General features: G+C 44.2%; 1 protein-coding gene across 12 annotated transcripts in view; it reads right to left on the minus strand.

Moving 5' to 3' along the window:
- Nucleotides 1–24,394, minus strand: part of TUBGCP3 (tubulin gamma complex component 3) — a 120,620-nt gene that overhangs the window by 66,358 nt on the left and 29,868 nt on the right. For 11 of the 12 annotated variants that reach the window (XR_007063655.1, XM_017020323.3, XM_011537462.3 and 8 more), the window contains 7 exons: nucleotides 17,784–17,891; nucleotides 13,743–13,810; nucleotides 7,954–8,031; nucleotides 6,828–7,045; nucleotides 4,684–4,856; nucleotides 3,519–3,637; nucleotides 2,689–2,814 (listed from right to left, as the gene is read on the minus strand). Coding sequence is in view for 11 of the 12 variants with exons in the window: in XM_011537462.3 (XP_011535764.1) it covers nucleotides 2,689–2,814; nucleotides 3,519–3,637; nucleotides 4,684–4,856; nucleotides 6,828–7,045; nucleotides 7,954–8,031; nucleotides 13,743–13,810; nucleotides 17,784–17,891 (890 nt within the window). In the remaining variant the exon portion in view is untranslated. The remainder of the gene's footprint in view (nucleotides 1–2,688; nucleotides 2,815–3,518; nucleotides 3,638–4,683; nucleotides 4,857–6,827; nucleotides 7,046–7,953; nucleotides 8,032–13,742; nucleotides 13,811–17,783; nucleotides 17,892–24,394) is intronic. The other variant, NM_001286277.2, reaches the window with a different exon arrangement.

Consider the following 24,394-nt stretch of genomic DNA (forward strand, 5'->3'; position numbering starts at 1 on the left):
CTCCATTTGGTATGTCTAGAGCCAGGACACCTCCAAGGCTAATTGTGGGCACTGGTAATACTGACACAGGACATAAATTATGCAAGGCATAAATTAGGGCACACGGTCACCCCACTGAGAGCACACGCTGGCTCTTCAAATAAGATAAATAAACCATCACTCCTTCAGCAACTGGATGGCACCAAGCAATGACTCCAAACAGCAGGAAATGGAAGAACAGAGACAGCTTTGGAACAGAGTGACACGTCACACCCTAGTCCATACCTGCCATCTACTAGTCAGGGCAACTTGGTCAAATCAATCAAACTTGCTGAGGTTCAATTCTCACATCTGCAAAATGGGGACAATTAATGCTTGCCCTGATCATTTTAGAAGGCTGCTATGATAATCGATAAGGAGAAAGAAGATAAAAGAAGAGCCTCTAAAGTCCAGTACTATAAACAGCAGTCCCCGACCTTTTTGGCACCAGGGACTGGTTTTGTGGAAGACATTTTTTCCACGGACCAGGGTGGGATGGGGGGGCAGAGTGGTTTTGGGATAAAACTGTTCCCACCTCAGATAATCAGACATTAGATTCTCATACGAAGCATGCAACCTAGATCCCTTGAATGCACGGTTCACAACAGGGATCACACTCCTATGAAACTAATGCCATCACTGATCTGACAGGAGGCAGAGCTCAGGCGGTCATGCCTGCTCGCCCTCCACTCACCTCCTGCCGTGCGGCCCAGTTCCTAACAGGCCATGAACCAGTACCGGTCCACAGTCCAGGAACTGGGGACCCCTGCTATAAAACATAATATGATACTACTATAGTGATGATCAATCCATCTCCTGGAATAAAATATCTACATAATGGTTTAGTTATCCTGTATTGATTTTGTGTGTGTGTTTTGCTTCATGTCTATCAAGTTGACTGGGACCTATCAGTGACACTTGCATAAGATGATGATATAAACCCAGACATGATAAAACACTCCCTTCGGGAAAAGGGACAGGGACTCTAAAATTACAGCTGGCTCCTGAGGGGACGGCCCACCAGTCCTACCTGCCTCGAGAAAGAGCCAGCTCACTCCTATCTGCCCTTGCAATGAGGGAGAGTGGTGGCTGGTCATCGAGCAATTCACTAGACTGGCAAACAGAACAGAAAACAGTACTAGACTGGGAAGCAGCATCTTTATACGCATTCTCTCCCCACCTTCACAATCCTAGAGGTAATCACTACCCCACTCTATGCAGGAAGAAACTTGTGGCCAACAGAAGATAACCTGGGCAAGATGACGTGACCATTACAGGAGAAGCCCAAACCAGAACCCTGGGCTGCCTCGCTTCAAAGCTCAAAGTGTGATGCCTACTCAGCAGCCACGCTGCCACAGCACACTCCTCCCCACCAGCCACGCTCCTCCCCACCAGCCACGCTCTTCCCCATCAGCCATGCTCCTACTCAGCAGCCACACTGCCACAGCACACTCCTCCCCACCAGCCACGCTCCTCCCCACCAGCCACGCTCTTCCCCATCAGCCATGCTCCTACTCAGCAGCCACGCTGCCACAGCACACTCCTCCCCACCAGCCATGCTCCTACTCACCAGCCACACTGCCACACTACTCGCCTACTCACCAGCCACACATTCTTACCCACCACCCACACTCCTCCTCACTAGCCACATTCCCAACCACCGGCCATGCTCCTACTCCCAGCCACGTTCTTACCCACCAGCCATGCTCCTCCCCACCAGCCACACTGCCACACCACATGCCTAATCACCAGCCATGTTCTTACCCACTAGCCACACTGCCACACCAAGTGCCTACTCACCAGCCACATTCTTACCCACCGGCCACGTTCCTGCCCACCAGCCACACTACAGCACCACACTCCTCCCCACCAGCCATGCTCTTCTCCATCAGTCACGCTCCTACTCACCAGCCACCCTCCTACCCACCAGCTACGCTGCCATAAGTCCTGTGCTACGCTGAGCTTATAGTACACAGTTGTTCTGTGATTCAATAATTTTTGGAGATTTCATTGGCAGTAATTACTGCCCAATAATCAACCTATGGACAAGACCACATGCTGCTTAGCCACAAAGAAGGGCTGGACAGTGGAGATGCCACGGCTCCTATTAGCTGCCCCCTGTCAGGCTCCAACAGGAGGAGAAGCAGCAGCAGCTCCCTCCCAACCATGCACTGTGCCATCGGCAGTGCCCACCCAGGGCTGTCCAGACAGCCATAGCCAGGATTCCCATCTCCAGCTTCGGCAGTGTTCCCAAATCCTGCCTCACCGTGCTGCCTGGGGAATCACGCAGCTGGGAGTGTCCCCTGTTGGCAGGCCCCGTCCCAGCAGGGCCCCTCCTCAACCTTCTGGAGGAGGCAGCAGCAGCTGGGCAGGGCCCCCTTCGAGCGTTTGGAATCGGGCAATGCCAGCTCCCCATGGCCAGCTCTGTCTCACCATTTTCTCTGTATTTTACAGTCCTCCAGCAGTTCCTGAGCCAACCTGCTGTATTCAGTGTCCTCATCAGCACCTACTGTGGTTTCTACTGTCTTGAGTGGACCCTGAAAGTTGACTCTCAAAGCTGCTTTACTTGGAAAGAGCCTTAGAAGGAGCTATTTCACAGTAAGATTTCAACTAGAGTAAGCGTTTCCCAAAGTGCGCAGCATCCCAGCATCCTAGGAACCATGAACGCACCTGCCCGACGAGTCCGAATGAGCGGTCCAGGCTCCTCTGGTCCGTGTATCTTCTGATTTTATTATGCAACCATCCCAACTCAGAAAGCCTGACTGCTGTGTCTCTCAAAGACCTACTTAGATTTGCCTAAAAAGTAAATACATCAAATGTTAAACATTAAAAAGCAATACTAGAGCTTTAATTAGTATTTTTCTCAAGCACTTCTACTTTTAATACTATAATCCTTAGGCTTCAAGACATAAAAGTTAAAACTAAGATCCCATCACTAAAGGGAAGGAAAGCACATTAAGTGACAGCATGATGGAAAGCACCTCAAAGGGCATGGTGAGCTCATTTCACACCACCCTGCAGTTGGCCTGCGGTGTGGCAGAGAAGGTCTGTGATCTCAGCCACGCTGTGAAAGGGCTAAGAGCCACAGTGTGACCCACACCACAAGAAATGGGCATGGTAAAGGCAGATTATGGAAAAAGGAAACAAAAGTGGGTGAAGACCCCTGACCTGGAATCCTGCATCAATGCCGAAGGTGCCAAGGGACCTCTGTCCCCTGGGTGCCTCAGCCATCACACAGCAGGATGCAGAAATCAGCTATGGGGCAGCCCCATCAGTAGACGTGAGGAAAGGAGGCACACATTAATCACAAAGGGTCCCCATAACAAAACTGAACGAGCCACAATGGACAGAAATAGAAACCAGAATTCCACAGTGCAATTTCACCTCACAACCGATTCGCAAAACCCCAGTACCACCTTATCAATCAACAGCCACTATCTGGACTTCATGACATGTTTTTTCTTTCTGAATATTTTAACTTAGATTTTATGTTACTGTACCTTTCCTTCTACTTTGTAACAATTTTCAGTGTTGTTCATTTTGATGTTTTTGCCATCTATGCCCTGAAAGACGTACAAAATGTCCCTTACCAGAGCTGCTTCTGTAATTTCCATAGTACCTGCAAAATCATTTTTTAAAGACAGTAATTACTAGACAATATTTTAACAGACAATAGATATTATGGTGCAATTAGCTTCAGATTAGATATTTGCCACCCCGATGAAATTTACTAACTCAATAAATAAGCTCAAGATGAAAAAGAGTATGAGATTAGAAAGAAACAAGGCGAGTCTCAGTCTAGAGGTTGGCCTGCTGTGCCATGAACGCACAGCTGTCAAACACGACATGAATCTGCAGCTGTGGACAGAGGCTGGACGCGGGAGCCACACACAGGGACAGGCGGAGTGGGGCAGATGGTGGAGACTACTGCGGGGGCTAATACTGTGCCAGGATGTCCTCCAGCTCTCAGATGCTCCTCACCTTTGCATTCTACGCAAGGACAGGTACAGGTAACATCCAGAGCCATTTCGTAATCAGCAGATTACGAGCCAACAGGGAAACCCAATCCTCTGTTTTCAGGACACTCATGTTTCAAATGCTGCTAACTGTAGTGTTCTCAATAAAGAAACTCAAGCTTCCTTTTGGAATCTAGCAGGGCTTTAAAACCCTCCATGAGGTATTCATCTCACCATTCAGTAATTCCTCAATGACTCTCTTCGACGTGCCAGGCACTGTGCTGAGCACTGGCACCATAAATGAAAAGACATAGCCCCTCTGTGGCCTTAAGACTTTGGTAGAAGAAGGTGACTTTTACTGGGGGCCTAACCCAGCCTTAAAGACTTTCCCAGGGAAACGGCAGGATGAAAACAGACAGGGAGAATGTGATGAGGAACAGCAAAGACGAGAGATGTGGAGGGAGGAGGCCACATGGAAAAGCAGCCAAAAAGCAGACTGTGCTGGGAGGAAAAAGCCCAGGTGGCCTGGGGTGAAAAGCCAAACTCCCCAAGGCGCCGCAGACCACCAGGGACTCTGGACTTCATCATAAGAACAAGAAGAAACCACTAAAAGGTTTGAGGTGGGGCTCCTGGGCTGTACTTTAAAATAAGGAGAGGCTGAATTCCAAGTGTTCACAGAAAAGCTGTATTAACATAGATCCTTACTCACCACCCGTATCCCCTTCTCTCCTGGACCTTGTCATGTTGCGAGACACAGCACTGGGGACACCTTTTGAGGTAGTGGCTTGTGAAGAAGGCTGATTTGCAGTTAAAGTCCATGCGAGTCGTGACCCCAACTGCTGTCGAAGGCAATCTCCTACTCCTGGAGCTTGATTAGACTGTCTAAAAAAAGAAACATGTATTATCTTCTAATAGGCTATTCGCTGAAGAGACAAAAGTGTCCCTAGAAATTTCTCTTGTATTACTATCGTGAATTACATAAATTTATAAATCTGGTATAGCTGATACCATGACTTTACCCTAACCGAATATATCAATAACAGACAGTCCCAAGTCCCTTGAACTTGGTCAAGCCTCCTTGCGACCCTTGGCCTAGCATTCGGACCCAACACAGCAGTGGAAAAATCATCTTACTGCTACCTTACAATATATATTTCTTACCATTAATATCAAAATCTATTTGGCTTTTCTTTATAAACATATAACATACCTTACCCACCCCATAACCACTTTGAAATTCTCTACTTATTTTAACTTCAAAATCCACAACTCTCGTTCACTCCCCATGTACTGAGCAGAGGAATCGAGTCACTGTGACACTGCCCCAGGCGCCTGGCCTCACCTGTCTTCAGCCTTCAGAGTGCTCACTATGAAAAGAAACTGCAATTTTCAATTAACTGCTAAAGTATACAAACGTATAAAATCTAAGGCAAATGCATATTCAAGGTCAAGATGGCTTGTCAGCAATTTTGAGACTATGTCAAAGTTGTTTTTTGAAAAATGTAAGAACCTCATAGCTGATTTCTAATAGCGTCAGTTTTGACAGGTGCAACAAAAATATCACTTCCTGGGACTACAAAACACAAAAATGAGAACCTCAGCTGCTCTACAGTTTCCAGGTGCCAGAGCTTGGATTTAGTACTGGTGCAATACTGGGGGGGTTTATCCATAATCCACTCGTGAAGTAAGGAGAACAGGAAAGAACTGAAACAGTTCTTATTTTATTCCATTTTCATCAGGAGAGAAGTCAACAACATTCACTAAAACTATGTCTCTGGGCATAGTTCTAAATTTAAGAGGATGATTCTAAAAGACTTTCAGTTCAAAGTTCTCTATACAGATTTTTAATAGGATAATAATTCAAATTCTGAGGTATAAATGAGAATGTCAATTGATTCTTTTAGCTGGAACTTAAATTCTAGATTAAATGTGTCAAGTTCTGTTTTTAAATGCTTTGCGTTTTCTTCATAGAACACTAGACCCCATTGGTAATCCATATGTATAGAACACACATTCTGTTTTCGAGTATCTTGAACATAATTGAATAAATCACAAAATGATTTATAATTCTATTACACTCACATGGAAAACACCATTTATTTGATGCTAAATCCTTGGTCACTGTTTTTCTGGAAAAATATCTACTTTATGATAATCCACTTTAATGCGATTTCCGGGAACCAACTATGGCAAAAAGCAAAGCCACCCGTTTATCTACATATAGGAAGAATGTGTAATTAAAAACAAAGAAAAACAAAGTTCCATCCATGAATGACAATGGCGCCTGCTTGATTCTCAGCTGTAAATCCTGTATTTCTTGAAAACATGCTTGGACCACATACATAAAACCTTCGTTGTGCATTCCTGCATTTCATCATCTTAATTCATATGCACTAAAATGTCACGATCCTTAAAGACCTCAGCACTCAAGGAAAGTTCAACCTTATTTTATTTTACTTAACAATTTACTAAAGAATCCAATGAGGAGAAAAACATACATCAATGAAGAGGCCACTATTCCCTAAGGAAAAATCTGAGCACACAGTCAGAGAGCCTCCAGATGAAGGGCTTTGCACAGGGTACTTCAAGCTCCTTCGTGATGGGCACTTCAGTGACAGGTGAGAGCTGGCCAGAGCTTGTGGATTACAAAGTGGAAGGAACTCCTGCTGTAGCATAGCTCTGAAGAGGAGTAACGTTCAGAGATGGAGTGCATCGGACACAGTGCCCAGAACACTGTCTGGCACGTATGAGGCCCCACTGATACTGTGGGTGAACATCAATGTCTGGTTAACAGCCTGCAGGCGTCTCTGTTTCTAACACATAGAGAATCTATACACGTCAGTGTGGCCTTACCCTGGGAGGAGAGATTGTGGCGCAGGCGCGGGGCCACTGAGGGCACACAGGCCAATGCTGCTGATGCCACTGCTGCCCACGCTGCCGGAGCTCTGGGCTGACTGGGCACTCCGATCTTGGTAGCTCAGGGGAAGGGTCTGAGGCCTGGCATAGTAGTAAGGGGTTGAGTGGGCATCTCTTGGTAAGGCCTGAGCAAATAACGTAGCATAGCTAGAAACCTGAAAAGAGAAACACACTAAGAGCAGAGACAGGAAATTACAGAACAGTCTTCCCAAACCTAAAAAGGTCATTTATATTCAGATTTTCCTTCTATTTCTGTAACTGGATTTGGGTTCCATACTTTATTAAACAATAAATTAGATGTTATGCTTTTGAAATATGCCTAAACTGATAAAGTTTTAGAAAATTTTCTGAACTCCAACAACCACTACATCATCTGATAACTAAACACTCACTCTGATCCAAGCAAACTGAAACTTGAATAATTTTTTAAAGTTAGGCATTATTAAAGAATGATTGCCCTCTATATATTCACATCTATATGGTTTACATGTATATTAATATATAATGATTGCTCAGACGAAGCCTTTAGCAATAGACAGAACTCTTTCACCCACACGCTTCAACCTCTTTGCACTCCCACGTCTCTGGTGAGTACTTTATTATACCAGACTCTGGGGCACAGAGCACTGGAATCACTCTGACATACTGCAGGGGACAGACACTGAGCCCGGTGATGACAGGGTTTCACTGGCACAAAAGTAAAGAATGCTCATAACTGAGAGCATGAAAAACTCCTAAAGGGTCTTCTAGTTCATAAAGAATTACCTATCAGTGCTGATATTAGTAACTTCACAAAGTAAACATTTTGAAAACTAACCATTTATTCTCTATTTAATCACCCATTGTTATGTCTGAATAACAAAATTCTGAAAAACATTATCAGGAAACCACACTGACTAAAAATGTCCTTAAAAAGAAAAAGGAAAAGAAATCTCTTGACCTTCCATGACAGACAAGCTTGTTGCTTTCCTAGCATTATTTTCTTAGCTGCAGAAGCCGTTTCCTATCAAAGTCAGCCAGGGTGTCCCGACGGACACGACGCTGCAAAGGCAAAGCCACTTACCTTGCTTGGCTGCCTGCGTGGGTCCTCACTGAGGCTCAGCAAGAGGTAGAGTATTGACCATTTATTTTTCAAAACTCCCTGTTTGGAAAAAAGTTAATATTAAAAGAACGATTTTATACTACTCTCCAGCCTTATTTTCCTCTTTCCTGAACTATATTTCCAAACTAGAAATGCATTTTAAAATTCACATAGTAACGTCAAATCTAACAATTCATAAGTATTTTCAACAGTGCCACCCATCCGAAGGCGGAAGCAAATGTCCTCATGCAACCAACAACCTTGGATCTTTCCTTCCCTTATTAACTAGCTCTAAAGTCCCCAAGAAGAAAAGTTTTTTTAAGTTACCCTATTCCTGAATAACAGTATCGTCTCCCCTGAAATAATTCTTATAATGTCCCCAAAACCGTAATTATGAGACAAAGCCATCATAAAAATATGTGAATTATTTTTTCCTTTATCAACATCCCATTTAAGCCACAAGCACAAGTTAGTCTCAGCATCATGTGTACCTAAAGTCAAGATGCAGGTCTGGGCCGGGAACAGGGGCTCACGCCTGTAATCCCAGCACTTTGGAAGGCCAAAGCAGGTGGACCACTTGAGGTTAGGAGTTCGAGACCAGCCTGGCCAACATGGCGAAACCCCATCTCTACTAAAAACACAAAATTAGCCAGGCGTGGTATCACGCACCTGTAGTCCCAGCTACTCGGGAGGCTGAGACACGAGAATCACTTGAACCTGGGAAGCAGAGGTTGCAGTGAGCTGAGATTACACCACTGCAATCCAGCTGGGAGACAGAGCAAGACTCCGTCTCAAAAAAAAAAAAAAAAGGCCGGGCGCGGTGGCTCACGCCTGTAATCCCAGCACTTTGGGAGGCCGAGGCGGGCGGATCACGAGGTCAGGAGATCGAGACCATCCCGGCTAAAACGGTGAAACCCCGTCTCTACTAAAAATACAAAAAATTAGCTGGGCGTAGTGGCGGGCGCCTGTAGTCCCAGCTACTTGGGAGGCTGAGGCAGGAGAATGGCGTGAACCCGGGAGGCGGAGCTTGCAGTGAGCCGAGATCCCGCCACTGCACTCCAGCCTGGGCGACAGAGCGAGACTCCGTCTCAAAAAAAAAAAAAAAGTGGGTCTGAAGCACTTAGCTGTCAAGATAACCAACCCACAGGTTTCTATGCAAGGGTTATCATACAGATTTCATTAATTTCCAATTGTGTATCACACCAGTCTGATTCGCAAACATAACAGCAGCCAAACCTCAGTATACTCTATTCAGACAGCCTTACCTTTTGCATGCACATGTAAGTACCTTTATTTACATAACAAATTATGGGATGATTGCTTATATTATGTAAACTCTCCATTATATAAAACATTCTCTGGAAGTTTCTTTTAAAAGTAAGCTCATCCCAGGTATTTAAATTACTAACTTTAAAAAATTGGTTGACATAGGCTTTTTCAGAAACTCAACTAATCCCCAGCCAGGGCCACGAGGATAAGAAACAGACCCAGCCCTGATGGAGTGTGTCTCATCACAGGCAACAGACAAGTGGGCAGATGCAACGTGACAAATGGCACTTCACAGCTCACAAAAGGGCTTCTGGAGGAGACTCGAGTCTCCTAGAAAGATGGACCGTGTAGAGGGAGGGACAGGAACAGTGAACACAGCAACCTGGCAAAGGCCAGGAGTCAGGAGGGAAGCTGACATCGGAATGAGGCCTCCACGCTGCACCAAGAAACTTGGATTTGGAGGTAAAGACAACAGCAGGAAGCCTGCGAAGGACGTCCTAGGCAGAGGCACCATCACTGCACAAGTGACGAACATGCTGGAGGGGACAACATGAGAGGAAGACCGCTGTTATCTGGAGGGAGATGCAAGCAGCTGAATGCAATGCAGTGAGCCGAGTGTGTGCTCAGGCATGTGTCCCCGGTGAGTCCCTGCAAGCCAGCAACAGGGGCCCGTGAGGCTCAGGCACTCAGGCCCAGGACCAAGGAGCCAAGCTGCTGCCAACCTTTAGCTCTTTCCACACATTAAATCCTGTCATCGTCACAACCACACTATGACAGGGCTTATTCTCTTCATGCCATAAATGAGAGAACAAAGGACAGCAAATCTGAATAACTCACCCAAATCACAGAGCTACATGCAGGGTTCAAACCCAGGTCTGCCCGACTCCAAAACGGACAAACGAGAGATATAGCTGGGGAGTCAAGATGACACTCAGGTTCTCATGGGGGGCAAGATCAATGGTGCTGTCATTCACCAAAAGAGAGAAGACAGAAGAAAGAGCAGGCAGCGTGCGGGTGGATGCAAATGGACGCCCAGAGGGGTGGAACAAGACGCAACACTTCCTTCAGCTCAGAGGATGCCAAGTTGTAAGTCCCTGTGGGAGTTTCCAGGAAGTCTCTGAGTGAAATGACCGGTAGGTGAAGGGAAAGACGGCAGGAAATGTTCTACCTTTGCACTAAGAAACCGCTAGGTTAAAAATCTCAGATTATATTTTAGCAAAGATGTATCTGAGGGTGAAGGGTGGAGAAATTTCAAAAATGAACAAAATTATGCACCAAAAACTTAGCAAGTGACATAAAGGAGGAGGCAGCATTTTTTAACTATAAAAAGAGCAAGTATAAAACACCCAGGATCTCTTCAGTCTGCTGAAAACCATTTGATACGAAGGTGTGGACGGAAACAGGGAAACCACAGGAGACAGTGAGGCAGTCTGGAAACACCACCAGCAACACTACCAGCCAGGAGCAACTATGGGAATACCACCAGCCAGGACCCACTAGGGAACACCACCAGCCAGGACCCAATAGGGAACACCACCAGCCAGGACCCACTAGGGAACACCACCAGCCAGGACCCACTAGGGAACACCACCAGCCAGGACCCACTAGGGACCACCACCAGCCAGGGCCTACTAGGGAATACCACCAGCCAGGACCTACTAGGGAACACCACCAGCCAGGACCTACTAGGGAACACCACCAGCCAGGGGCCACTAGGGGAACACCACCAGCCAGAAGCCACTAATGACCCTGAGACCAGAGAGATCAGGCTGGAGACAGCAGCTGCAGGGTCCAGGAGGGCCCAACACAGGGCAGGGACTGCCCTCAGGAGCTGTGGTCACAGCTACGCCACTGACAAACAGCTGCCCAGCAGCAGGGGAGATGAGTTTAGTGTCACCCCTCTCCCAACTCCAGACTCACCCTGGAGCTTAAGCCAGCTCCAGCTGAAGCCAACCGGGAGACACACAGCGAGAGGCCAGGAGTATAATCTGCCAGGCCTGGAGAGCACAGAGTGGGCAGGAGTGGGTAGAGGAGAGATCTGGCAGAGGAAACCAGATCATTCCCACCACTCTGGCAGTACAGATGCTTTTAACCACCCGAAATCACTTCAGACCTGCCACCTCAGACTCTGAACTACAGGACCGCAAGTTCAGATACAAAACTTTTAAAACTGTGCACAAACTGAATTGTACGTGAAGAAAGTCTTATCGGGACATGGTAAGATCTAGAGGAACACCAAATAAACATCTTCGCAAAGCAGCCGTTTAGTGCCCAGCACAAGAGCTGATCTCAGCTTTCCCGGCACTGCCACACCAGAACACCCGTCATCAACAGGGCACCACCTACCATGCCGCCACAGCACCTGCACGCTGTTCCCTGCCCTCGAGGCCAGAGTCCTGCCCGGGCAGTGCAGATGCACAATGTTCTAGTTCTACTCCCCTCATAAGCCACCCTCCCCCTTCGGACTTTCCTGCTCAGCCATGCTTCAAACCCAGCTCAGGAACAGCACAGCACTCTACTCCCGTCTCCACGTCAACCTGGACCCTCCTTCCACTCCGGACTCCTTCCTCTAGGTCTACCAACAACAAGAGCAAACATTCGACTGCACCTTTGACCTTTCGTCCCCATGGTCTGCACAGCACACCCACATACGGGGCCCTAACTAAGACAAGATAAAAAATTAGGATCAACAACCTTCACACTTCTGCGGAGCCATTTTTAGCAAAATGATGGAATGGCTACTAACCTGAATCTCCTATTCTACTTGGTTTAATCGTTGGTCTTATACTATTATTTCCTAGTATTTTTCATCATGTTTCAGTCATGCAATGAAAAAGCCAAGCAAGTCAGTTTTGGGGACGAGCCCTAGGGAGCGGGCCACTATTTAAGACATTGATATTTAGGAATAAACATTCAGAGCTCCAAACAAAATTTTGGAAAACAACCATTTTAAGTCACAAAGTGTCTAAATAGGGCCAGGCGCGGTGGCTCACGCCTGTAATCCCACCACTTTGGGAGGCCGAGACGGACAGATCACGAAGTCAGGAGATCGAGACCATCCTGGCTAACACCGTGAAACCCCATCTCTACTAAAAATACCAAAAAAAAAAAAAAAAATTAGCCGGGCGTGTTGGCGGGCGCCTGTAGTCCCAGCTACCTGGGAGGCTGAGGCAGGAGAATGGCGTGAACCCAGAAGGCAGAGCTTGCAGTGAGCCCAGATTGCGCCACTGCACTCCAGCCTGGGGCACAGAGCAAGACTTCGCCTCAAAAAAAAAAAAAAGTGTCTAAATATGTTTTCATCCAATGGCTAATATTAACAAATACAACAGCTTTTACTAGATGAAATCTCCCTTTGGGCATCTTGGTAAGGCTAAGAATCTGGAGAAATATGGTATCCAATAAGCAAATCTTTTTAACATACAGTGTGTAGAAAATGGTTTTAAAAATGGAGAAAGATTTAAGAAAGCAAATGATACAGCAGTTTGAAATAATTTGCCTGGAAATGAATGGACAAAAAAGGTTCCTATTTCTTACTCTGTAAACATTACAAAGATAATATCGCAAATATTATGGAAAAAAGCATGCTTAAAACAGTGAATCCAAGTCAAACAATTAAGGAATCAAAATGGGCAGCAAATGAACTAAGCTTGTTTCCAGAGCACAATATAACAACAGAGGAAGACTCAAAATAAAAGAGTTTAATTACTAGCAGCATTAGGCCTGACTCAATCATTTTCACTGTGTAACACTAACAGTATTTGTTGCGCAAAGCACTAAACCTCTCTAGATTCACTTTCTTCTCCATAAAAGGAAAGAAAGCGGGATGAACTAAGTTCCTTTATAGTCAGAAATCAGAAAAATCTCACCCTATGATTCAATTAATGTATTGGTATACAGGCTGCCAAAATCTTTTATCAAAATACAAGGCTGGGCTTGGTGGCATGCACCTGTAGTCCCAGCTACTTGGGAGGCCCAGGCAGGAGGATTGCTTGAGCCCAGGAGTTTGAGACCAGCCTGGGGAACACAGCGAAGCTGCGTCTCAAAAGAAAAAAAAAAGGTTAGAAAAATCATTCATTTTCAAGTATCAATATCCAACCACGTTCAAAATCAATTTTTTCGTTATTCACTATGGCAGTACAAATTATGACCCAATGAATAAAGTTTATCAGTCAGATAAAGTTTAGCTATTATATGAAGATAAGACTTCTACCAATGTGCTTCCTCCCAGCAGTGTAATTAAGCGACTACAATAAAAACTCACAAATTCTGTTGACTTTCCCTGTGCAGCTTCATTCATCTTTATAAGCAATTTAGCATTAAATCCAGCTAAAACTTCTAATACTGAAGCTCACACAAAAAAAGCAAATGCTATCTATAATTAAAAGCAATTACCAATTATAGAAAAGTTTAATATGATACCACAAAAAACATTCAAAGGTTCCTATACCACTCATCATATCCTCAACAATGAGTGCAATGACCTCCAGAATTCTGCACTGTACCTGTGAATGAAGTTTTCTGTGGAGTTCTGAAAATAATGCAGCATCTGCTTCTCTTCGTTGTCGAATAACTGAAAAGACAGAAAAAAAATAAGTGTGGTAACTACAAACACCAAAATTCATTCTTATGATACTATTTCACCTACAACACCATAACTCGCAAGTGATGAATTCAGAGTCAAAAGTCACTGTCAAATTAGATGATGAGCAACTTTTAAGCTCTATGAATCTGATCAATTCATCTAACCTCCCTGACATTTGTAAAGTACGGAAAATATTAGGCTGGGATCAAAGAGTTTATGTGAAAATTAGGTAAAGTAATAGAAATAATGGGATTACTTACAGTCCATCTACAAATATTAATAAACAGTAAGGCAAACTATGATCACTGTAACCAGTTAACAGTGGTCACCTGGAGGTAGGGATGGAAAGTGAAAATATTAGGAATCCTGAATCCAAGGGCAGTAAGTTAAGTACAATATTCATGGTCATTCATTCCACTTGGAAACTACATATCCTAAACATTTTTGTTAAGATACACAGCAGGCTGGGCGCGGTGGCTCACGCCTGTAATCCCAGCACTTTGGGAGACCGAGGCAGGTGGATCACAAGGTCAGGAGATCGAGACCATCCTGGCTAACACGGTGAAACCGAGTCTCTACTAAAAAATACAAAAAATTAGCTGGGTGTGTTAGCGGGCACCTGTAGTCCCAGCCACCTGGGAGGCTGAGGCAGGTGAATGGCATGAACCCAGGAGGCAGAGCTTGCAGTGAGCCAAGATCACACCACTGCACTCCAGCCTGGCCGACAGAGCGAGACTCTGTCTCAAAAAAAAAAAAAAAAGATACACAGCAATGTGTCATCTTGTTTTAGTATTAAATGTCATACTCACTGTTTCAAAATAAAATTCAAAATAGCTTATTAATTTTCATCCACCAATTCATTTGATTAACAAATGTCTTTGGCTGTTCCAGCTACACTTACAAATTATCTGAAAGCAGTTGCAGCGAATGAGAAGTTCATTCTATGTTCTGTTCCATGAAGGAGGAGAAGCTGCGGTCGTATTGGGTTCCCTGGGGGAAGAGAACCTACTTTGCTCACATTTACAACACTGCAAACATCACCTGTGCACAGATGCCTCTCAAAGAAGCTGTCACACCCACTAGAAAGGTGCCACTTTCAAAGGCTAACTTATAACTTCAATACTCTCTAATGAACCTTTGTATGTATCCCATTTTAGTAGTATGACTTTATAAAAAGCTCATCAGCCAATCACATTTAGCATTAAATGTTCTAATTCATCTGTACAAAGATAATGACTGACTTTACAGCCAACCCCATATTCTTCAGCTAAAAAAGGATCTTGGTATGAAGCACATACCAGAGATTACATAATCTAATCATAACTGTACATGCAACTCTTCCTATATGGAAAAGGAAAGCTATCTTAAAACATACTATGTAAAGTGCATTACACAAAATGAATGCAATTAAAATTTAATATAATTTACTGTATTTACAACATATAAATAGACTCAAAATACAACCATGAAATCAAGCAAGTGACGCTCTTTCTATAGAATGAGATTGGCACTAATTCATACATGCACTACAGTCACAGCACAATAAAATAAGAATAAAAATGAACGCATAGTATTTACAAAATAAGTGATGTTTCTCTATTAAATTGATTCTCTATTAAATTTTAGCACATCTCCAGTTACAATGTACCCCACCTGCCAGTGTGGAAAATGTTTTGTCACACATGATGACTTTTGCAATTTGTTTCAATATAAAACATACTAGCACTTTATATTTGAGGTCGGTTATATCGAATGGAAAATTAACTTCTCCATATTATTCCAAAGAGCAGAGCTACCATAACTCAACTGATCTATCAACAACTGTAATCAAATTTCAAATGTCTAAGCATTCATAAAACATGACAAATTAACAGTGCCTATCACAGGAAAGGACTATAGGTGCTGAAGGAGGTGGTGCTCACTGGAGGGTCCCAAGAAGAGTTGGGGACACCTGCTGGGGACACCCCAGAGGCACCTGAGTCAGTCAATACACAACATGCCTTAATCTCAAAACACAACACCCACAGGAAACACAAACTCTACATTGCTGCAGTTTTCTTCTTTAAAAGGAAAATCCCAGATTCCCTCGAATATCCACTGCAACAAAGTAGCTGTCAGTTCTTTGAGTTTAAACAAACTTTATTTTTAGCTACTATGACACACTTATAGTAGTATGTTTAAATATGTGTAATATGCTCACCACGAGGCCATGAAATGTAACTTTGTAAAGGAAATGGTCTGTTTATCACAGTACCTAATTGCTGGAGTCTTCAGTAATCATCTAAAATGTGTAAAATGGTTTAGGGTTCAAGAGGAGAGTATAGTGTTCTTATGTTGTTATATAGACATTGAGGAAAATAAATTTTTAGTATGTTAACAGCAGTATAAATACCCCATTTTTATTCCCCGTCTTAAATAATACATGCACACTCAGCAACACCAAAGCTCTGCATCATAACAGCAGATGGATCATTTCAGACTCCCACTGCTCGTCCAGCCCTGAACAGGCAAAAGCACTATGTCTAGGTGAAGTACTCTGGGTCACACCCTCAACTCTACCCAGAACTGACTCGCCATCCAGTGCAGTCACACAGGTCTAAAGTGGGACCTCCACAGACCATGGGCCAAACACAGTTCATAATGCAACAGCCAGGGGTGGAAAACTGTGCCACGCAGGACTTCTAGAAGGTGTTATCACTAAGACCCAAGGCCAAATGGACTTCTAGAAAGTGTTATTACTGAGACCCACAGCCAAATGGGCTTCTAGAAGGTGTTATCACTAAGACCTAAGGCCAAATGGACTTCTAAAAGATGTTACTACTGAGACCCAAGGCCAAATGGACTTCTAGAAGGTGTTATCACTAAGACCCACGGCCAAATGGACTTCTAGAAGGTGTTATTACTGAGACCCAAGGCCAAATGGACTTCTGGAAGGTGTTATCACTAAGACCCAAAGCCAAATGGACTTCTAGAAGGTGTTATCACTAAGACCCACAGCCAAATGGACTTCTAGAAGGTGTTATCACTAAGACCCAAGGCCAAATGGACTTCTAGAAGGTGTTATTACTGAGACCCAAGGCCAAATGGGCTTCTAGAACATGTTATTATTGAGACCCAAGGCCAAATGGGTTTCTAGAAGGTGTTACTACTGAGACCCAAGGCCAAATGGGCTTCTAGAACGTGTTATTACTGAGACCCAAGGCCAAATGGGCTTCTAGAAGGTGTTATTACTGAGACCCAAGGCCAAATGGGCTTCTAGAACGTGTTATTACTGAGACCCAAGGCCAAATGGACTTCTAAAAGGTGTTATTACTGAGACCCACAGCCAAATGGACTTCTAGAAGGTGTTACTACTGAGACCCAAGGCCAAATGGACTTCCAGAAGATGTTATTACTGAGACCCAAGGCCAACATCTACTCCACTTGGACAGTTTAACGGGGAGGCCCCAGCAGGGAAATGCACTGACCTTCGCGCAGGCCTCTTTTCTAGGCCAACTGAAAAGCACCACTGCGTTTGGCTTATACAGCCCAGAGAACTATAAGGATGAAGAGCTGGCCACCTGGAAAAACCACCTTTCAAACAGGACAGCTCATGTGTGGCGGCTCATTACTCAGAGCTGAGCTTCCCCTCAGACTCTTCAGAGGTGAAGCAGGGTGGCAGAGCCCTGCCAGGGATAATCAGATAACCTACTCACCAACCAAAAGCTAACAAATGGAAAGCTTTCTTCTCTAAGGTGCCAGGATTTGCAAAAGCTTTATGCACCATCCCAGAATTAAACATTCTAAAGTATTATGTTCTAATAGTTCTGACTCTACAACAGAATTGACTTGTCCTTATTTTGTACCAATATTAAAATGCGCTTGGGAACTACATACACACCTACACACATGCATACATACATCTGCTTAAGCTCTGACGAGTTTAAGAATCCAACACATGACATTTAAGAAAAATACGTACGCTCTTTCTTGATTTTTTCAGCTACTAAAAATTCATCTCTTTCAACAGTTGGGGCGAAGTTGCTGCCAATCACCCGCACAGCATACTGGAACTGCTGGGCTACATCAGCTGAAAGACAAACAAAAGGATGCGGATTGTTACCAACCAGGTTACGTTCTGGTCACCTGAAGCTTCCAGTTCAAGACAGTGAACTAGTAATAACATCTATCTTCCACCTCCCCAAGGTCTTAACTGAGAGGACAGAAAAGCTATTAAGATATCAAAACAGAATGAATGAATGAAATAAGAGTTCAATAAAATAAGAATGAGAACAGTAACACACCAGAGAGTCTGAAAAATCCTAGATGACAAAAAACAAACTGGCTCAGTAATCACGAAAAGAAAAGGAACAGAAAGGGTCACATCCCAACACATGAACAAGAAGAGGAGGCCGGGTCAAGAGAGCCTCTGAGTAACTCCAGGGTCAACACACACAAAAAGCCAGAAGCAGGTCACTCAACAGTCAAAATAGACAGTTAATTTGCATTTTCACCTCTAGATGAAGATGACAGCTTAAACGCATGTGCCTCTACTCCCTTCAAAAACACCATAAAATTGAGGATAAAGGAGTTTTTAAAACTAAAAGCATAAACCAACAAGGACAAAGAAAACAAGGCAGAAAGGAATCAGAGAGAAGTCAAAAAATGTGAGAAGCTGGACTGCAGATAGATGTGTGGTAACTGATTCAAGAGGACAATGAAACCGGAACACTAAATGTCCGTCAAGTTAAGAATGGGGAGAGGGGAGTGGGAGGAATAAATGTCAAGAAGAAATAACAGTTCCCACTGCAGAGCCCAGGCAGGCTCAGGAAAGGAAGGAACTGGATACTCTCAGGATGCAGAAGCAAGCAGGGCTGAAGGGGGAGACCTGGCTGCAAGTTTGGACGGAAACAGACTCCTGGGTCCTCCACCCAATCCCACGCTGCCAGACAACCACCGAGACCCGCCCAGCAAGCCTGGTCTGGATGGACACTAGGGTGGCCCCGGTCACTAAGTAAAGTTAACAGACAACTCAGGGATCCCCAGTCCTTCCCAGAACTCCAGGATGCACAATTTGTCTATGAGAAAACTGATCAGCCCAAGAGAAAAGAGAGACAGATGGTGATGAGTGGGGATCCCCAACAAGCACACGGGTCTTTGTCAAATTCAGACAGACCACAGAGATAGTGCAGATCTGGTTCCAACCACCATATTAAAGAAAATATCACAAAAAGTGAGTCACATGAAACTTTTTGTTTTCCCAGTGCATATAAAAGTTAGGTTTAATATACTGTGGTCTGTTAAGTGTGGAACAGCATTATGTCTAAAAAGAAAAAAACATATACACAGCCTTAATTCAAAAATACTTTATTGCTAAAAAATGCTAACAATCATCTGAGCCTTCAGCAAGTCGAAATCTTTTTGCTGGTGGAGGGTCTCACCTTGATGTTGACGACTACTGACTGACCAGGGCGGTGGTTGCTGAAGGCTGTGGCAATTTCTTAAAATAAGACAACAATGAAGTTTACCACATCGATTGACCCTTCCTTTCATGCTTCTTCTCTATAGCATGTGATGTTGTTTGATAGCATTTTACCCACAGTAGAACTTCTTTCGAAACAGAAGCCAGTCCTCTTAAACCCTGCCACTGTTTTATCAACTAAGTTTATGTAATATTCTAAATTCTTTGTTGTCATTTCAACAATGTTCACAGCACTTCAGCAGGAGTAGATTCCACCTCAAGAAACCACTTTCTCTGCTCATCGATAAAAAGCAACTCCTCATCCCTTCACATTTTATCATGAGATTGTGGCAGTTCAGTTACCTCTTCAAGATCCTCTTCTACTTCTCCTGCTATTGCCACCACATCTGCAGTTCCTTCCTCCACTGAAGGCTTGAACCCTCAAAGTCATCCATCATGGCTGGAATCACTTTCTTCCAAACTCCTGTTAATGTTGACAATTTGACCTCCCATGAATCACAAATGATCTTAATGGCATCTAGAATGATGAATCCTTTCCAGAAGGTTTTCAATTTACTTTGCCCAGATCCATCAGAGGAATCACTATCTATGGCAACTATAGCCTTATAAAATGTGTTTCTCAAGTGATAAGATTTGAAAGTTGAAATTACTCTTTGGTCCATGTTCTGCAGAACAGATGCATGTTAGCAGGCATGAAAACAACTCCAGGTGCATTCTCAACGAGCAGTAAGGAATCTTTTTCTGAGCAGCAGACCTTAATAGGAGGCTTAAAATATTCAGTAAACCATGCTATAAAAAGATGTGCTGTCATCTAGGCTTTGTCGTTTCATTTCTAGAGCACAGGAAGAGTAGATTTAGCATAACTCCTAAGGGCCCCAGGATTTTTGGAATGGTCAACGAGCACTGGCTTCAACAACTTCAGTCACCTGCTGCATTAGCCCCAGACAAGAGTCGGCTTATTCTTTGTAGCTCTGAAGGAAGGCACTAACTTCTCCTCTCTAGGAATGAAAGTTGGCATCTTATTAGACGCCAATAAGATGGCATCTTATTCCAATAGAAGGGTGTTTCACTTACACTGAAAATCTGTTGTTAGTGTAGCCACCTTCCCCAATGATCTCAGCTAGTTCTGGATGACTTGCTGCAGCTTCTCCATTAGCAGGTGCTGCTTCACCTTGCATTTTTATGTTATGGAGACAGCTTCTTTCCTTCAGTCTCATGAACTAAAAACCCCTGCTAGCTTCTAACTTTTCTTCTGCAGCTTCCTCACCTCTCTCAGCCTTCACAGAATTAAGGTCTTGCTCAAGATTAGGTTTTGGCTTAAAGGAATGCTGTGGCTGGTTTGATCTTCTATCCAGACCACTCAAACTTTCTCCATATTAGCAATAAGGCTGTTTCAATTTATTACTCTTGTGTTCACTGGAATAGCATTTGTAATTTCCTTCAAGAACTTTTCCTATTCAATCACAACTTGACTAACTGGCATAAGAGGCCTAGCTTCTCGCGTATCTCAGCTTTTGGCATGCCTTCCTCACCAAGCTTAACCATTTCTAGCTTTTGATTTAAAGTGAGAGGCATGTGACTCTTCATTTCACTTGAACACTAATTTCTTTTATTATTATTTCTTCTAAAAAACAAAAAGCGGGATACATGTGCAGAACGTGCAGGTTTGTTACACAGGTACACGTGTGGCAGGTTTGTTACATAGGTATACGTGTGCTGTGCTGGTTTGCGGCACCTAATGACCCGTCCTCTAAGTTCCCGCCCCTCACCCCCCACCCTCCAACAGGCTCTGGTGTGTGTTGTTCCCCTCTCTGTGTCCATGTGTTCTCACTGTTCAACTCCCACTTATGAGTGAGAAGGTCATGTTTGGTTTTCTGTTGATCACTAATTTCACTTAAACAGTAAGAGGTCACTGTAAGGCTATTAACTGGCCTAATTTCAATATTGTTGTGACTCAGGAAATAGGGAGGCCTGAGGAGAGAGGGTGAGACAGGGAACAGCTGGTCGGCAGAGTAGTCAGAACATACACAACACTTTTTGATTAAGTTTGCGCACTTCATGGCACCCCAAAACAATTACAACAGCAGCATCAAAGATCACAAGTTACACATCAACGTAACAGATGTAATAATCATGAAAAAGTCTGAAATACTGTGAGAATTTCCAAATATGACACAGAGATACAAAGTGAGCACATGCTGTTGGAAAAATGGTACCTAAAGACTTGCCCAACGCAGGGTGCCAAAAACTTCCAATTGTCAAATAACGCAGTATCTGTAAAGGACAATAAGATGACGTGTGCCTGTCCTCCACAAGGAAGCTCAGCACTGGGCAAATGCTGCCCTAGCCAAGACCTTCCGACAACTCCACTCTTAAAGATGAAAAGAACAGGTATCGCCAGATACCTGAGGGCATCATCTAAAACAAAAAGGAGACAAACACAAGAAGGAAAAAAGGAAACTCTAAGAAAAAGTAACAACGTAGGGAATAAGAAAATGGGGGCAAGATGTACAAAAACAAGCTATAATGGCCTACGAGATTAGACATAACACATCCATGAAACAAAACAGTATGCCATAAATTCAGAGAAGACAAGCTCTTGAATATTAAAAGTATGAAGGCAGATGTTTTTTAAAATAAGTAGAAAGCTTGTATTTAAAGTTGAAGAAGTCTCTCAAAAACTAAAACAAAAAGGCAAAAAGATGGAAATTACGACAGCCAAGACAAGGAAATCACCAGATCAGCCCAGGCAGAAGTGGGGAGGGAGAAACCTGGAGTGGAATAAATGTCCAAAGAAGTCATACAAGACAGAAAGGATGAGAAGGGAAGGGCCTTGGAAGTTACATGGTTCACAGCAACTGCCTTAGCCCCAGGAAAAAATCCAGGCTCTCATCTCTGCAGAGGCAAACTCCCAATCTGAGGAACTCCCACCCTCAGTACAAGGGATCTGGGAGAAGAATGTTCCCCACTACAATCTCAGCAGCAAAAGAACGTCAAGGGTCAGGAAGAAATCTTTCAGAAAGCCTCCACCTTCCGAAAGCAATCACTTCAATAAGTGGATTGGAGCTGGTGCCAGGGTGGGATAGCCTGCCTGTCTGCCCAACTTCTATGACTCTAGAAGTCAAGTTACCAGTAGATACCTCCAGATCCCCCCACCCCCACCACTGAGTGCTGGGCCCAGTTCAACCCGGGATGCAGAGGAGCAGCCCAACAGGGCAGTGCCCAGCTGCATCTGCCAGCAAAAGCCAACACTGTTCTCCATCCTAGGAAGGAAGTGGAACTATGAGTGGCACCTGGAAATTCAAGTGGGCACTCTGAGCTCAGTATGGCTTCCTCTGCCCAATCCGCAGAGAATCTTTAAGTGAGCACTCTGAGCTCACAGTGTGGCTTCCCCTGCCCAATCCACAGAGAATCTTCAAGTGGGCACTCTGAGCTCAGTGTGGCTTCCCCTGCCCAATCCACAGAGAATCTTCAAGTGGGCACTCTGAGCTCACAGTGTGGCTTCCCCCTGCCCAATCCACAGAGAATCTTCAAGTGGGCACTCTGAGCTCACAGTGTGGCTTCCCCCTGCCCAATCCACAAAGAATCTTCAAGTGGGCACTCCACGCTCACAGTGTGGCTTCCCCTGCCCAATCCACAGAGAATCTTCAAGTGAGCACTCTGAGCTCAGTGTGGCTTCCCCCTGCCCAATCCACAGAGAATCTTCAAGTGGGCACTCTGAGCTCAGTGTGGCTTCCCCTGCCCAATCCACAGAGAATCTTCAAGTGGGCACTCTGAGCTCACAGTGTGACTTCCCCTGCCCAATCCATAGACAATCCAAAATCCCCAGAAATGTAACAAAGGATTTAAGGAAGATATAAACAAAACCAGAAAAGTGGATCTAAGAAGAGCACTCTTGGTGAAACAGAAACTGAAGAATCCCTGAAAGATGTAAAGAAAACAAACAGGATTGACTTGAAAGAAGAAACTAGAGACAGAAGTCATCTCCGTCAAGACAGAGTAAGCACACTCCACTACTGATGACAATGTAAAACTCTGGCAAAAATACATAAAACACCTCCAATCAGACTCTGAACAATGGGTAAGAGAAGCAGACTGGGTATGAAACTGATGAATCAAAGGAAATCCTGGAATGACTTCCCCCATTTTTGCTTTTTGATATTTTCTTTATCTGTTTGCTGTTTACTGCACCAGCTGGGGCTGGGTAACACTCCAAAACCCAAACCACAAACAGGCAAAGACAGAAAAACCTCCGAGCCAGGCCCAGTCTCCCCAGCCAGGGCCCAGGTGGGGAGGGAGGGAGGAAGCACCACAGCTCTCCCAGCCCTGCGCCAGGCTACCAGCCCCTTCTACCTTCAGGGGCACCCCCGCAGTGGGCTGCCCCATTCCACACTTGACAAGAACCAATAATGGCCCCAAAACTCCATCACAAGGCTGGCAGGCTGGGGGTTCGGATTTTAGCCAGAACATGAGGAAATGTGTTGGGAACCAGAGTGAGGGCAGCAGCACAGAAGAGGAAGCTGGAAAAAGTCACCCCTTAAAGCTGTGTACTATCGAGAAGGAGCCCAACTGAGACATGATGAAAGATATCCTTAAAAATGAAAGGAAGAAGAAAGATATTCCATGAAAACACTATTCAAAGAACGTGAACTGGCTACATTTCTATCAGACAAAGTAAACTTTAGACTAAGAAAAATTAACAAGGATAAAGTAGGGATCACAAAATGATAAAAGGGCAATTCACCAAGATGACATAGCAATTCTAAATGTGAACACTCTAAACAGCAGAGCTGTAAGGCACATGAAGCAAACTCTAATAGAACTGAAAGGAAAAACAGACATTCACAAATACATCTGGAGACATCAAGGGGCATTTCTCAGTAATCCAAAGGGCAAGTGAAGAGAAAATGAGCAAGGATATCAACTTGAACACCAACAACCAACTAAACCTAATCGGTATTCACACAACAGCCCACCCCACAACAAAACAACACACGCTCTTTTCAAATGCACGTGGAACATTCAGGACAGACTGAATTGTGGGTCACAAAGCAGTCTGATTAAATAGAAAACAATAAAATTATTCAAAGTATGTCCTCTAACACTAACAG

Source organism: Homo sapiens, chromosome 13, assembly GCF_000001405.40.
Source record: "Homo sapiens chromosome 13, GRCh38.p14 Primary Assembly".
Classification (NCBI taxonomy): domain Eukaryota; kingdom Metazoa; phylum Chordata; class Mammalia; order Primates; family Hominidae; genus Homo; species Homo sapiens.